Source organism: Homo sapiens, chromosome 10 (assembly GCF_000001405.40).
Source record: "Homo sapiens chromosome 10, GRCh38.p14 Primary Assembly".
NCBI classification, from domain to species: Eukaryota; Metazoa; Chordata; class Mammalia; order Primates; family Hominidae; genus Homo; species Homo sapiens.
In genome coordinates this window covers 115,258,652-115,276,114 of record NC_000010.11, presented here as the reverse complement: position 1 = coordinate 115,276,114, position 17,463 = coordinate 115,258,652, and the positions used below count along the sequence as shown (strand labels likewise).

Below are 17,463 nucleotides of genomic sequence, written 5' to 3'. Positions count from 1 at the left end.
TAGGCCGTCACCAGATACCAAATCTACTACCACCAAGATCTTGGACTTCCCAGCCTCCAGAACGGTAAAAGTATTGGAAAATGATAGACGAAACATAAAGTTGGATCAGGCAAAATTTATTGATATGGGCTCACTAAGCAGAAATTATACATTTGATGTTATAGCTTGGAGAGTTAGAAAGGGCTCTTTCTGTTAGTTGGCTAAAACATAGACCAAAAGGTGGCCCACAGTGAGTGACTTGGAAATGCTGGATCTGCCTTGGTTTAATATAGAAGACATTTAATGGCTTAGGGAGATTGGAATGTTAGAGTGGATTTGTCCTTTAAGATCTGCTCACCCTCACTGAGAGGGTCCAGAAGACACACCTTTCACCAGTATTGAAAGGAATAAACTTGGGAGGGGAGCACTGGCATCCTTGAAGAGCTCCATGATTGCTGTTTTCTGTATGCCCAGCCTTGCAGTGGGAAGTGCAGCCACTGAATTGGGAAACATAAATGCAACAGGAATAATTGGATCTAGGTTGGCAGGGGCTAGGTAGCAGCACTCAACTAACAAAGGCAAGGTGGGTGAGGTTACTATGATGAACAGCAGAGTTAAAGCAGCAATTGGAATAGTCTGACTTGCTTACATCTATGGCATTGGTGAGTTGAGCATGAAGTTGCTCCTAGGAGTAAAATATATAGAAATCCTACTAAATCCTAGCTATGCACTGGGGAAAGGGAAATAATCAGTATCAGTACCAGATGCTGGTTCTAAACTGACATTAATTCCAGGAGACCCAAAACATCACTGTGGGCCACCAGTCAGAGGCTTATGACTGCCAGATGATCAGTGGAGTTCAGGTCCCTCTCACAGTGGGCCCACTGGGTCCCAAACCCATCCTGTGGCTATTTTCCCAGTTCCAGAATGCATAATTGGAATAGACATACTCAGCAGCTGAAAGAAAACTCACACCGGTTCCTTGACCTGTGGAGTGAGGACAATTACGGAGCGAAAAGCCAAGAAGAAGCCACTAGAACAGCCTCTATGTAGAAAAATGGTAAGCCAAAAGCAATACTCCATTCCTGGAGGGATTGCAAAGATTAGTGCCACAATCAAGGACTTAAAGGATGCAGGAGTGGTAATTCCCACCATATTCCCATGAAATTTGCCTATTTAGTCTATGCAGAAGACAGATGGATTTTGGAGAATAACAGTGAATTATCATAAGCTTAACCGAGTGGTAATACCAATTGTAATTGCCTTATCAGATGTGGTTTCATTGCTTGGGCAATTAACACATTCCCTGGAAACTGGCAAGCAGCTAAACATCTGGCAAATGCTTCTTTCTTGAAATTTGTTAGTAAAGATCACCAGAAGCAGTTTGTTTTCAGCTGGCAATGGTAGCAATACACCTTCACTGTTCTACCTCAGGAGTATACCAACTCTCCACTCCTATTTAATAACTTAGTTCTGAGGAATTTAACTGCCTTTTTATTCCACAAGACATCACACTGATCCATAATATTGATAACATCACATAGATTGGACCTAGTGAGCAAGATGTAGCAACTACTCTAGACTTACTGGCAAGATATTTGGTGTCAGAGGTTGGGAAATAAATTCATCTAAAATTCAGGGGCCTTCTAACTCACTGAAATCTCTAGGGGTCTAGCAGTATGGGGCATGTCAAGATATCCCTTTCAAAGGTGAATGTTAAGTTGTTGCCTCTGGCCCCTCCTATAACCAAAACAAAAAAGAGGGAGAATGTCTAATAGGCCTCTTTGGATTTTGGAGGTAACACATTCCTCACTGGGGTATGTTACTTTGACCCATTTACCAAGTGATCTAAAAAGCTGCGAATTCCAAGTAGATCTCAGAATAAGAGAGGGCTCTGCAACAGGTCCAGAGTACTATACAAGCTCTGCCAGTTGGGCTACATGATCCTGCAGGTGCAATGGTACGTGAAATATCAGTGGCAGACAGGATGCTGTTTGGAGCCTTTGGCAGGCCCCTATAGGCAAATAATAGTGCAGACCCTTAGGATTTTGTAGCAAAACATCACCATCCTCTGCAGATAACTACTATCCTTTAGCAGAAACAGCTCTTAGTCTGCTACTGGGCCTTAATAGAAACTGAATGTTTAACCATGGGTCACCAAATTATGTGATTTCAGCCCATCATGAACTGGGTGTTATCTGACCCACCAACCCATGAGGTTGGGTATGCACAGCGGCACTCTATCATCAAATAAAAGTGGTATATACATGATCAGGCTCAAGGAGGCCCTGAAGGAGCAACTACGTTACATGAAGAGGCCCAAATGCCCATGATCCCCACTTCTGCCACACTGCCTTCTCTCTCCCAGTCTGACCTATCACTTCAAGAGAAGTTCCCTAGATCACTTGACAGAGGAAGAGAAGACTGGTTTCATTTACAGATGGTTCTGCACAATATGCAGGTACCACCCAAAAAAGGACTGCTGAAGTTCTGCTATCCCTTCCTGGGACCTCCCTGAAGTACAGTAGTGAAAGGAAATCTTTCCAGTGGGCAAAATCAAACAGTGCTTCTCAATGTTTATTCTGTTTGGAAGAAGAAATGGCCAGATGTGCAATTATGTATGGATTCATGGGCTGTGGCCAATGGTTTGTCTGTATGGTCAGGAACTTGGAAGGAACATGAATGGAAAATTGGTGACAAAAAAAAAAATTGTGGAAAAGGGATGCGGACAGATCTCACTGAATGGCAAATAAGTGAAGATACTTGTATCCAGCGTAAATGTTTACCAAAACGTGACATCAGCAAAAGAGTATTTTAATAATCACATGGATAAGATGACCACTTCTGTGGATACCTTCTTCCCTAGCCACCTGTGTCATTACCCAACGGGCTCATGGACAAAGTGGCCATGGTGGCAGGGATGGAGATTATGCATGGGCTCAGCAAAATGGACTTCCATCCACCGAGGCCAACCTGGCTATGACCACTGCTGAGTACCCAATATGCCAGTAGCAGAAACCAACACTGAGCTCCTGATATGGTGCCATCCCCCTAGGTAATCAGCCAGCTACCTGGAGGAAGGTTGATACAGCTTCAATCAGGGAAAGGGAAGCATTTTGTTTTTACTGAAACAGACATTTATTCTGGCTATAGATTTGCCTTCCTCGCTCACAATGCTTCTGCCATAACTGCCATCAGTAAACTTACAGAATTCTTTCTCTACTATCTTGGTATTCCATACAGAATTGCTTTTGACCAAGCAACTCATGTCACAGCACATGGAGGACAGCAATGGGCCTATGCTCACTGGTCTTATCATGTTCCCTACAATTGTCAAGCAACTCGTTTCATAAAACAGTGGAATGGGCTTTTGATGATTCAGTTACAGTGCCAGCTACGTAGTAATACCTTGCAAGGCTGACAGAAGGGTTCTCCAGAAAGCCATATAAGCTCTGAGTCAGCATCCAATATATGGTGCTTTTTCTCTCACAGCCAGCATTTATGGGTCCAATAATCAAGGGGTGGAAATGGGAGTGGTACTACTCACTACTGCCCTTAGTAATTCATTAGCGAAATTTTTCTTCCTATTCCTGTGACCTTATTCTTTGCTGACCTAGATGTCTTAATTCCAGAGGAAGGAATAATTTTTTCCAGAAAACACAACACTGATTCCATAGAATTGGAAATTAAGACTGCCACTTGGCCACTTTGGGTTCCTTACACCTCTAAATCATCAGTCAAAGAAGAGTTACTGTGCTCATTGGGGTGACTGCTTCTAGTACAGGGAAACTGAACTGCCACTTCACACAGGAGGCTAGGAAGAATATGTCTAGAATACAAGAGATCCCTTATGGCGTCTTTCAGTATTACCATACCCTACACCCTGTGTGTTGGGCCATTCTTGCAATGCTATAAAGGAATACTTGAAATCAGGTAATTCATAAAGAAACGAGGTTTAGTTAGTTCACAGTTCTGCAAGCTTTACAGGAAATGTGGCACCAGCATCTGCTCTGCTTCTGCAGAGGCCTCAGGGAACTTTTACTCATTGCAGAAGGCAAAGTGGCAGTAAGCATCTCACATGGCAGAATAGGAGCAAGAGTGAGAATGGAGGTGGAGTTGCCACATACTTTTAAACGACCAGACCTCAAGTGAACCCAGAGCAAGAGCTCACGTATCAACAAGCGGGTGGCCCAAGCCATTCATGAGGGATCCACTCCTGTGATTCAAACACCTCCTACCAAGCCCCACCTCCAAGACCGGGGATTATATTTCAACAGAAATTTGGGCAGGGACAAATGTCCAAATTATATTACCCTGTGATTAAGATCAATGGAAAACTACAACAATCCAATTCAAGCAGGACTACTAATGAAGAATGACCCTTCAAGAATAAAGGTTTGAGTCACCCCAACAGATAAAAAACTACAAGCAGGTAAGGTGCTTGCTGAAGGTAAAGGAAATACAAAATGGTTAGGTGAGAATATATGTATAATCCAGTCTATCATTGATGGATATCTGGGTTGGTTCCAAGTCTTTGCTATTGTGAACAGTGCTGCAATAAACATACGTGTGCATTTGTCTTTATAGCAGCATGATTTACAATCCTTTGGGTATATATCCAGTAACGGGATGGCTGGGTCAAATGGTATTTCTAGTTCTAGATCGTTGAGGAATTGCCGGGGCCTGTCGTGGGGTGGGGGTAGAGGGGAGGGATAGCATTAGGAGATATACCTAACGTAAATGACGAATTAATGAGTGCAGCACACCAACATGGCACATGTATACATATGTAACAAACCTGCACATTGTGCCCATGTACCCTAGAACTTAAAGTATAATAAAAAAAAGAATATATGTATAAATATTAGCTACAACCACATGATCACTTACAGAAATAAGGACTGTATTTCCTCCTCATTTTGCTAAGAATACATCTGTGTGTGTGTGTGTGTGTGTGTGTGTGTGTGTGTAATATCTTTGTTTTCTTTCTTCTCTTATTCCCTCATCATGTAACATAAGATGCTCATATCAGAATTTAAGTACTGTTGATTTTACATCATAGTATTTAATTTACAGAATATCAAGGAGAGGAGTAAATATCACTCCAGGACTTTACCTCCTTTTCTGGGAAAGAGATTGATGTGTTTTCCAGTTGTACACAGGATACTTGTATTATGTTAGGTAGAATTATGACCTTGTTATTATCTTCATTTGAAAATTAAGTATGGTTTATGTAGATATGTATAGGTGCCAAGTTGACAAGGGGTAGACTTGTAATGGTTAATTTTATGTGTCAACTTTTCCAAGACATGGGGTGGACACATATTAGGCTAAGCATTATTTCTGGATATGTCTGTAGGGGGCAGTTCTGGATGAGACTGAATTGGTAAACCAAGTAAAGTAAAATGCTCTCCCTATGGTGGGCGTCATCCAAGCAATTGAGGGCCTGAAAGAACAAAAAAGTAGAGGAAGAAAGAATTTCCTCTCTCTGCCTTTTCTTGCTCTTGGACTGAGACTTACACCATCTGCACTCCTGGTTCTCAAGCCTCCATACGTAGAGTAGAATTTACATCATCAACTTTCCTGGGTCTTCAGTTTGCAGACGGCAGATCCTGGGACTTTTCATCCTTCATAACCACATGAGCCAATTTCTTATAATAAATCTCATTTTATATATATATATACACATATATTATAGATTATATATAAACAAATATATATTATATTTATATATAATATACATATATTTATATATTATATAATAGATTTATATATTTGTTTATATATCTGTATATAATATATAAACAAATATATTTATATATAATATATAAACAAATATATAAACAAATGTTTATATATTTATATATAATATATAAACAAATATATATTATTTATTTATATATATAAACTGTGTATGTGTGTATATATATATATAGACAGATTCTGTTTCTCTGAAGAACTGTAATACAAGTCCCTGATTCCCATGTCTTATTTTATTTAACTCCGACTTCTACTAAAATAACTCCCATTAGATGAATATCAGTGGATATCTTCAAACGTAATTTAAATTTTCAAAGCATAACCATGTTATATTAATGTTAAAACTCAAATAAAATTGAAGTATATCTTGTTATTAAAACAACTTGTATCACTGGAAAGTATATAACAACAGAGTATGTATGAAAACAAAAGGGTTCAATCTAATGAGTCAGTAACTGCAAATTTCCCTCCATTTTAAGTTCTGAAAATTAAAGTCATAAAACTTACATATTTTGAATTATTAATTAGTGAAGAATTTTTTTAATTATACAATCAAATTTTTTACTTAGTTTCAACTCCCTTTTCTTTGCCTTTTACCTCTGCCTGCTATCTTGAAAAACAAGTAGATACTTTCAGTAATAAAATTTCCAAAAAAGAAAAAATGATACATTATATTCAGTTGGAAATATGTATCCATGCTATTTATTTTTACTCAAGCTATAGGCCCATGAAAGAATCTTTGGGCTGGGTGCAGTGCCTCATGCCTGTAATCCCAGCACTTTGGGAGGCTGAGGTGGGCACATCACTTGAGGCCAGGAGTTCAAGACCAGCCTGGCCAACATGGTGAAACCCTGTCTCTACTAAAATATAAAAATTAGCTAGGCATGGTGGTGCCTGCCTATAATCCCAGCTACTCAGGAGGCTGAGGCAGAAGAATCACTTGAACCCAGGAGGTGGAGGTTGCAGTGAACCGAGATCATGCCACTGCATTCCAGCCTGGGTGATGGAGTGAGACTCTGTCTCAAAAAAACAAAACAAAACAAAAAAATCTTTAATTCTACTAAATACTACTTTTTAAAATTTTTCCCTTCAATTTGTTGATATCTTCTACATAACATAGAATGTTTAGATGCTACCACTTAAAATCTTAATTTTTGCTTCTCTTAACCCATTTTCATCTGCCATAAATATTTTATGTTTTTTTATTCTGCAATATATAGAACAGCCCTCCCACAACAAATAAACAAATAAACAAATAATTATAGGGCTCAAAATGTCAATAGTGCTAAAACTCTACTTTAGATGAAAAAGGACGTTAAAAAATCTTATCAAACTGTAGAATGTTTAGCAGCTCCCTTGCTTCTACCTATTAGATGCCAATAGCAGCTCCACATTTGTGACAACCAAAATGTCTCTGCAAAATGTCCCCTGTGAGACAAAATTGCCTCAACTTGAGAACCACTAATGTATAGACAGTTAAAAGAGAAACTACAACTACCAAAAACTCAGGTTAAACTTACACACAAAGTGTGAAAACAAAGCACTAGACCACACGACCACTAATGCATGTCTGACAGGAATCCAATGGTAATTATTTCAATACCTACCTATATAATCTTATTTTCATAGGAACAGAAGACAACATTTATAGCTATAGTCTTTTTCAATATCAGTTTTGAAAAAATGTTCCCAGTCTCATCCATGAAAAGAAGTAAAGTTGATGGATCCAAAATGGAATCTAGACTGACAAATTTGAACAACAAACCAATCTAACTTCACAATTTGCCAAGAAGTGAATGATTCCCTATATACTTTCTAAATGTCTTAATGTGTAAAGTGCTTTTTTTCTACAGTGCTACTAAATGGTAAGCTAATGATCATAAAGCAGCAGTCTGTTGTAACTACAGCACCATTTACCCATAAATACTAACCATACTGCAGTTACTATTTGCCGAAATGCATTTCTTGTCATCACACCATTGGCACCCATTTGTATTGGCAGTACAGCTGGCACAATCTGCATATCTGTAACATCTGTCATCAGAAGCAGCTATAATACAAATGGGGGACGATATATCAGCACGGAAAAGAAAATCTTACTCTTCTTAATTTACAATATCTATTTAAGAATCATTAAGAATCACTAAGACATTTTTTAACCAAAGAAATGACCTTCAATTTCAAAGTAAGTTTTCTAAAGATTAAGACAACTTTTGTAGTTCAATTGTGTTTACAGGATTTTCGAGACCTTTTACCCCCATTTTAATTATTCAATATACAAGGATCCTACAGACATTTTAAATTCACACATTTTGGGCCAGGCACGGTAGCTCATGCCTGCAATCCCAGAACTTTTAAAAGCCAAGGTAGACGGATCACTTGAGGTCAGGAGTTCAAGACAAGCCTGGCCAACATCACAAAACCCATCTCTACTAAAAATACAAAAATTAGCCAGGCATAGTGGCACATGCCTGTAATTCCAGCTACTCGGAAAGCTAAGGCAGCAGAATTGCTTGAAACCAGGAGACAGAGTTTGATCACACCACTGCACTCCAGCCTGGGTGACAGAGTGAGACTCTGTCTCAAAAAATAAACTAAAATAAATAAATTTACGTATTTTAGAGAAAGTCAAAGGATTTACATATATTTTACTGAACAAAGTGTATTACTATACATACAAAAGAAAACATCATAACAAATACTGTTTATCATCCTTTCTAAAGATATAAAAGACATCTGAATTAATATAGATTAGTAAAACTTAAAAATACATTTATTAATTGTAACCGCAAAAATGTATAAAAACTCTCAGCACTTAAAAAACTAAACAATATTTATCCAAATAATTAATTAGCTAACTGATTAATAATTGACTGGTAACTTTTCATAAGTCTCATTTATTTATTCACCATTTTATAAGAAATATAAAACCAGATCATTAGTCATGAAATGCTGTAACATTTTTTTACTTTATGGTGTGGTTTGGCAATAATTCAGGAAGAAAAAAAAATACCACATGGAAAATAAATTATTTCATTTTATTTCTTTGAATCTAACAGCACTTCTTAGAAATGATGTACTGGAAAGCATTTTAAACTTATATTAGAAAATAATTCATATATATGACAATGTTATATATAAAATATTGATATATATACTATATATACAGATTTCAAAAATAAAGCTAAAAATAGCTAATAAATGTATTAAATTATTAATCACTAGGTTCAAACATTAGAATTCCTAATTAGGGTAATACAAATTTTTCATTTCTGTAGCTACTAAAGTAATTCTTATAAGCAGAAGATATTTCTACTTCTGTAGAAGAGAAATTTTGCTGCCACAAAGACGAAAAGAAAAAGAAATTTACCTGTTTTAGGAGGGCACTTTGCTCTAAGAATATTATTAGTATTCCCAGATTCCCAAGATTCACAGTGATTTTTATTCCAAACACATTTTATCCCTGGACCAGCATTTTTACAAAGTTCTTCATCTCTGAAAGCCTTGCAATTTGGAGGCTTGTATACAAGGATATCATTAAGGAGTACACTAGAAAATCCCCCAAATATATACATGGACCTATTAAAAACAAAACAAGAATCTTAAAGAAACGCTATTAAAAGTCCCTATCTACTGATTTAGTTATAAAAATAAGCATAGATTTAAATATACATTTTATACTATTTTAAGTACTTCTGTTAGTACTGTTCTTTAAAATCATATTTCTAGCATACAATATGATATAAAAACACCAGAGGAACTACTATATAATTTCTTGAAGACTTTCCAGACAAAATATGAAATATTCTATAAATCTTAATATATTAAGAAAACACTAAGTCTTCAAAACATGTTTTATTGTTAATACAAGAAAGGAAAAGAAACAATGATTATATACAATATTCCTTTGTCAGAAAAATAAGTATTTTTTTAATAATATAGAAAACAATGTTTTAAAAAAATAGATAATAGCTATACATGGACAAGACACACTTTAGAACTGCTATCTAGAATTATAACTTTTCAATATAGACACAGAATTTTGAAATTAGATACCGAGTTCTTCTTATGGTGTTTCATTCTTTTAAAATAAGAAAACTAAGAGTAAAATAATCAAAAAGATTTTTTAAATTCAGTCTGGAAAGAGAAGCCTAGACAATACTAAATTAATACCAAGCAGTGCCAATGCCCTTAAAACAGCATATTTTTCATGTCAAAAATATTATTAACATAATAAATTGAATCAGTCAAAAAAGTCTTCAAGAATGTCTTTTATTATTTTAAAAAAGTAAAATAAAAATCAACCAGAGAACCCTGGAGGTTTTATGTTTCACAGTTTTCATGTATTACTGTTTGGACAGCCACTTGATATCAGTTACACAGTTTCATTGTGGTTAAGTCATTTTGTGGCAATAGTGGAGAATTTTTACATATTTAGGATAAGGTGGTAATAAAATGGGCTTATAAAAAGGTCATTCTGATTTACAAATGTTAAGCCACTAAATGAGCTAGCAGATTGTTTACTGTCACTGGATTCCAAATTACCAAATTTTTGCCATAGAAATACAAAAATTATATTAACTTAAATGGGGAAGGCAATGTAATGACCATTGAGTCCAATTTCTCAATGGATATAATGATTTTAAGGTCCAGAGAGGTTAAGAGACTTGTCAAAAATCACACATTTAGTAAATGACAGAACTAAAATGAGAATCTAATTCTTCTCACTTTCCTTGTTCTCCTTGATAGAAATATGGGGCTAGCCTCTCTATCATTTCAGTTCCATCTTTTTAAAAGAAGAGTCATTCCTTATCTGATCTCTGGAAAAAGAAAAGAAGGCAGGATGACATAAAAGGGTATCTGATGTCTTATCTCAGCACCTTTCCTTTACCTACTCCCATGTCCCTTAAATATATTAAACAAGAAAGGAAAAAAAGATATGATTGACAAATCAAAATGCATTCTATGGTAGAGAAGAGATGCATAAAATCCAATACCATTAAGTACCAATGATAATTTTCAAAAAGAATACCAGAATATGAGGATAGTATGACTGATATAAGTGACCCTCTAAAAATTGGAAATGTGCTTCTTTTACCCGTTAATGACTACTGCAGAGTGTCCAAATCTGTTGACATCTCTATGAAGATTTGGTTTTGGTAGTATTTTCCATTCATCACAAGCTAGAAAAAAGAAAACAGAAAAACAAAAAATGAAATAAAAGAATAAACTAAGACAAATAATATGAAAACATCATTGGCCGAATTAAAGATACACTATGCATAAGCAGGAAGCAAAAAAAAAATTCTCATTAATTTTCCATGACCTACAATTTAGTGTATTTACTCAACTAACATTATTCATTAAATAAAAATAACTCTTGCCTAGAATTCTCACAAATAATTTTAAGCATATGAGAACAAGAAAATGAAAAGAATGAACTTAGAGGTATTTTATATTGGAAGATAATTTCGAAGACATATATTTATTAAATATTCCAAGTAAAACTTATGAATGTCAGTATAGGGCACACCTCTTTGAAAGTTAAATACTAAATCAAATATGACATGTATGCATACAAAAGTCAATGGCAGATACAATGTTCACTGAAAGAATACCTAAAAATATAATCATCAGGATAAAACATTTAAATCACTTTAATGATTTGAATTCTCAAAAAAGCTTTTTTATATAGAAGGGAATTATTTTAACTGCAAAACTTCTAGATAAAAAATGAAAATCATAAATAATCTATGAACTATATAGAAACTATGGAAAGTGGTTAAGAAAAATGTGTATTATTTCAATATAAACTCAGAACTGACATATATACTAACGTAAATTTGAGATTTAAAATAATTCATCATTCAGTGACTAGGAACATTCTCAATACAGTGTTTTAGATTTCAACTTCTTAGAAATGTCATATTTATAAAGGCATGCTTTGGTATTTCATGAAAGCATATAGATACAAGATTTTTTAAAACAAATTAATTTTGTTTAGGTAAAAGCCTTTATGGAACAAGAAAATAATCTTAAGTACAGTTAGTTGTAAAAGTTAAAGTAATGAATTACTTGTTTTCTTATTTAAGTAATTACATCTATAACAATAATAAAATAAATTTGGTTTCAACTCAATATTTTATTAATGAACATCAAAAAATTATAAAAACCAAAACTGTAAGTTTAGAAAATGATGCTGAACACCAACATGGCACATGTATACATACGTAACAAACGTGCACGTTGTGCACATGAACCCTAGAACTTAAAGTATAATTAAAAAAAAAAAGAGAATGATGCTGAAAGACTGAGAACAATAAAATATATGTTGACCTGTATATGCTAAAGTATAATCCAGGAAACACAAATCTCCCCCGAAAAAGTGTATAATCTGTCTTTTTAGTCCACATGGTATATCTGCCTATTAAATATTCTCAAAAGAGAGAGTGTAAAGGTACAGAAACCTAACCTAACTTTATTTAACACAGTGTTTTCCCAATGTTTTATCCAAAGAAGCACTTTTCACATAATGCCTATTAAGATCCTCAAGAGTCAATGCTCTGAAGATCACATTTTAGAAAATATTATTATGGAGGCCTATGATAAAGATTAAGACTGCCAATTTTACATGTTAGAGTTAATTTAATAAATGTACATTATATGTTTGTAGCACTATTAGGTTGGTGCAAAAGAAATTATATAAAGTATAAACTGTATACTTTTATAAATTAAGTACACATAAAAGTTCCAAAGTGTTTTCATCGCATATCTTAAAATGGTCTTTATAAGAATCCAGTGAAATTGATGGAGCAGGTATTACCCTATGTTAGAAATGAAGAATCAGACCTACATGAAGGTAAATAACTTGTATGAGGTCCATTTGATTAACAGATCATATAGTAATTCTGTGTTCAATTTTTTAAGAAACTGCCATTCTGTTTTCCATAGTAGCTGGACCATTTTACATTTTTACCAGTAATGCAAAAGGGTTCATATGTCTCCACATCCTCGTCAACCCTTGTTATCTTCTGTTTTTTTATCATAGCCATCCTAATGAGTATGAATTAGTATATCATTGTGGTTTTGACTTGCATTCCCTAATGATTAGTGATGTTGAGCATCTTTTCATGTGCTTATTGGACATTTGTATATCTTTGGAGAAATGTCAATTCAACAGCTCATTTAAATTTATAGATACAAGTGGTACTGTGTGCTCATTGTAACCATGTTAGAGTTTTCCATGTTATGACTACACAAAATATTTACCCATTAAGCTGTTAATAATTAGCCTTTTTAAAGATTTTTTTCCTATTACAAGTCATGTTGGTATATTCACTCTTATATGTATCTTGTGCATATTTTGAATGTTTCTCTAGATTTCCAAGAGGTATAAGAAAAGACACAACTTCGATTTTACTAGATTTTCCCAATTTGCTCCCCAAAGTAGTTGTGTTGACTCACATTAGCAGTGTACAACAGTTCCTCTTGTTTTATATTCTCTACAACATGTAGTTCTATCAGACTTAAAATTTTTACCAATCTGATGAATGGTTTGATTTTACATTTTTCCAGTTACTGGTGAGTCAACTTATTTTCACATGTATAGGTTATTTGTTTTAGTCTTCTATGAAATCACTGTTTAAGACTTGCACATTTTTCTATTTGCTTTTTGTCTTTTTCTTAATAATTTAAAGGATTCTTGATTAAATATTCTGGATACTAATCCTTTGCTGGCTATATGTATTACCATATATTCTTCCATGCTACAGCATCTTTTTTTCACTTAGTTTATGAAACCTTGTTTTACAGAAAGTTGGTCTTACCTTTAGGTCACCTTATGATCTGTGCTTGTTTACTCAGTAAACTGAGATTTTAAAAATAATCTCTAATTTTCCAGTAAAGGTTTTTCTGTTGGCTTTTACTATTTTGGTCTTCAATCTTTTTGCAACTTATTTTTGTATATCTGGTAAGCATCAAACTTAATTTTTCCCATATATCATATTTTCCAGATATTTCCAAGTATATGTCAATGCACTAATTTTCCCAATTTTTGAACATTTATCCTTGATCCACTAACTTGTGCATCATTTAATTTCTGTACTGTTATACTTTGCTTTTATTTTATCATTTTTAAATATATACATGTGTGAGGCCCAAAAGTCCAATATTTCTACAAGGTTTATCAAAAAAAAAAAAAATCCACTGCCCCCTATCTTCCCAAAGCATATTCCAGAATCATGGAGGTAAGCACTTTTAATTCTAAATAAACAGCTATAAAGAGTTTGTTTTTGTTTTTGTTTCTTGTATTTTCATCTGTTCTAAACAGCATGCCTAGTTCCCAGTTTCAGATAATATGCCTGACTTCCTTCTTCAGATGGTGAAGATTAAGCTCTTACACAGACTTACACACGCATATTTCCTCTCCCTCCATTCTCTATACATTTATATTATAATTTTGTTTAGAGCAATATTCAGTTTCTTATTTGTTTTTTAGAGATGGGGAATTGCTATATTGCCTAGGCTGTATTGCCTAGGCTGGACTAAATTAATTCCTGGGCTCAAGCAATCCTCCTGCCTCAGCCTCCAGAGTTTCTGGAATTATAGGTGCACACCACCACACTCAGCTAATGTTCAGTTTTTATTATCTTTGATAGTATATATCTGTGATATTATTCACAGATAAGCCAGGTAGCATACTACATTTTTATTCTTAAATAACTTACTTTCTCCACAAATTATATTTTCACTTTTTTGCTTACCTTTCTGTATATCTACTGCTATTTCTCCCCCAACCCTTTGCCAGATGTGTACATTTCTTCTCAATATCTTCTAATACATCAAGATATCTGGCAATTTCATTTACTTTGTAAAGACATCCCTCCTGAAACTCCATCTTTCTTCTCCAATCTGAACTTACTGCTCTCTAGGCCTATTACATCATCATAAGGATTCCCTCCATATTTCTCCCCTGTTATATATTCCATTTCTTAGATTTCATCTGTTTATTTAATCTCATACTTCAATAGGAGATATAATCCTAAAGTATCTAAATAAAGTGTACATTGGAGGTATATTTTTGAGAATCTGCAATTCTAAAAAATAATTTTATTTCACTCTAACACTTTTAGTATGATTTGATTGGTGTTAGAATTCTAACATGGAAAGCATTTTCAGATATTGAAGGTATTAGTCCACTCTTCTGGCTTCTCGTATTGCTTTTGTAAGGCACTATGCTATCAAGTCTCATGATTTATTTGTCCTATTTCTTTTCTCTCTATATAAGTTTTTAGGTTCTTTTTGTCTTTTTGTAATGAGCTTTGCTGTGAGTCTTTTGTATTTATTTTTCTGGGGCTCAGTAGGCTCTTTTAGTCTTAAAATTTGTGTACTTCAATCCCAAACATATTTTTGAATTACTCACTTGATAATTTCCTTCCTGTCTAAAATGTTATGTTCTTTGCTTTTTCAATTCTATTACTGAGATACAAAGTTTTCTGGAACAGTCATATTAAATTTCTCATTTTTTACCCTATTTTCCATTTGTCCATTATTCATAATACTTTATGGAGATTCTTCACTTTATCTTCAAATCATTGATTTGTTTTCCTAATTTTAATTTCCAAGAGCTCATTTTTTTCTTTTCTGAATTAACTATTTTTATTAAAATCTCACATTTTGCTTCACAAATGTAACATCTTCTGTCCATAAAGATTTAACTTATAATCTCCTCTGTGGATTATCTTTATTTCCCCTAATTTCTTATTTTTTCCTACTCGTTTGACATTTTGATCAAATTTAGTAACTTTTTGTAATTGTCAAAATAATAACAGGCTGCAAATTTAAGAGTGAGGCACCACCAGAGTCATTAGGAATTTAGTGCTTAAGAAGGACATGTTGACCTCTGGGATTCTGATCAGGTGGAACCATTTCAGTTAGAGACCTCCAAATGTCAGTATCTCTACATGCTTTCTCTTAGGCTGGTCAGATTTCTTCAGATAATTTTCCAGTCTCCTGCCTGGAAACCATAAATCGGACTAACAGCATTTTAGGAAGACCCTAAGTGGATAAAGGGTAGCTAGAGGGTTTCACTCTTAAGTATGTATACTTTCATTTAATCCCACTGTTTACAAAATAGTGCTTATGCTCTCAGTCATGTTCTGGTTTTCTTTTGTTTTGTTTTTAAAGTACACAAGTCCTGCAGAAGAGAAACATTACAGTACAGTAATAGTAATGTAATTATACATGAAGGCAATTAATTTAGGCAAATAATAATAAAACATAATTCTACTTCTAGAAGTTATTTGCCTTTCAATACATGTAGCGGTAGGAAGTGACAGCTTTATTACTATCTCCAAGACATCATCTTCAATTATACTAAAAGTTTAAAAAAGAATTACATACAATACTTTTGATAGACATTTGTGCTGTTCAATAAAATATTTCAGTTCCTTTCCTTCTGGCACAAAATTATACTCTTACAATCCCTAGAAGTTGAATGTATCAATGTAATGCAAGCTACTGGAATATCTGTGTTTCTGGTTGGAGGCATTTGATTAGCAATGAAAGCCTATGTCTTCTGTCAGCCTGGGTCCCTAAATAATGACAAAAAAAAATCTGGAGAGGCGTTCCAAGATGGCCGAATAGGAACAGCTCCAGTCTGCAGCTCCCAGTGTGATCGACGCAGAGGATGGGTGATTTCTGCATTTCCAACTGAGGTACCTGGTTCATCTCATTGGGACTAGTTGGATAGTGGATGCAGCCCACAGAGGGCGAGCCGAAGCAGGGTGGGGCATCACCTCACCCGGGAAGCACAAGGGGTTGGGGGATTTCCCTTTCCTAGCCAAGGGAAGCTGTGACAGACTACCTGGAAAAACGGGACACTCCCACCCAAATACTGCGCTTTTCCCAAAGTTTTAGCAATCAGCAGACAAGGAGATTCTCTCCAGTGCCTGGCTTGGTAGGTACCACACCCACAGAGCCTTGCTCACTGCTAGCACGGCAGTCTGAGATTGAACTGCGAGGCAGCGGCCTGGCTGGGGGGTGCATCCGCCATTGCTGAGGCTTGACTAGGTAAACAAAGCGGCCAGGAAGCTTAAACTGGACGGAGCCTACCACAGCTCACCAAGGCCTACCGTCTCTAGACTCCACCTCTGTGGCCAGGGCATAGCTAAACAAAAGGCAGCAGACAACTTCTGCAGACTTAAAAGTCCCTGTCTGACAGCTCTGAAGAGGGCAGTGGTTCTCCCAGCATGGCGTTTGAGCTCTGAGAACAAACAGACTGCCTCCTCAAGTGGGTCCCTGACCCCCGTGTAGCCTAACTGGCAGAAACCTCTCAGTAGGGGCTGACCGACACCTCATACAGGTGGCTGCCCCGTTGGGATGAAGCTTCCAGAGGGAGGATCAGGCAGTAATACTTGCTGTTCTGCAGCCTCCGCTGGTGATACCCAGGCAAACAGGGTCCGGAGTGAACCTCCAGCAAACTCCAACAGACTTGCAGCTGAGGGACCTGACTGTTAGAAGAAAAACTAACAAACAGAAAAGAATAGCAGCAACATCAACAAAAGGTCATCTAGACCAAAACCCCATCTGTAGGTCACCAAAATCAAAGACCAAAGGTAGATAAAACCACAAAGATGGGGAGAAACCAGAGCAGAAAAGGTGAAAATTCTAAAAATTGGAGTGCCTCTTCTCCTCCAAAGGATCACAGCTCCTCACCAGCAATGG

The 17,463-nt window shown here is 35.4% G+C and overlaps 1 protein-coding gene across 11 annotated transcripts in view; it reads right to left on the bottom strand.

Moving 5' to 3' along the window:
• ATRNL1 (attractin like 1) overlaps positions 1 to 17,463 on the bottom strand; it is an 855,635-nt gene that overhangs the window by 672,885 nt on the left and 165,287 nt on the right. For 10 of the 11 annotated variants that reach the window (NM_207303.4, XM_011539587.2, XM_011539588.3 and 7 more), the window contains 3 exons: positions 10,838 to 10,922; positions 9,110 to 9,318; positions 7,671 to 7,789 (listed from right to left, as the gene is read on the bottom strand). In NM_207303.4, coding sequence (NP_997186.1) covers positions 7,671 to 7,789; positions 9,110 to 9,318; positions 10,838 to 10,922 — 413 coding nt within the window. Of the gene's footprint in view, positions 1 to 7,670; positions 7,790 to 9,109; positions 9,319 to 10,837; positions 10,923 to 17,463 lie in introns of those variants that run through there. The other variant, XM_017016040.2, reaches the window with a different exon arrangement.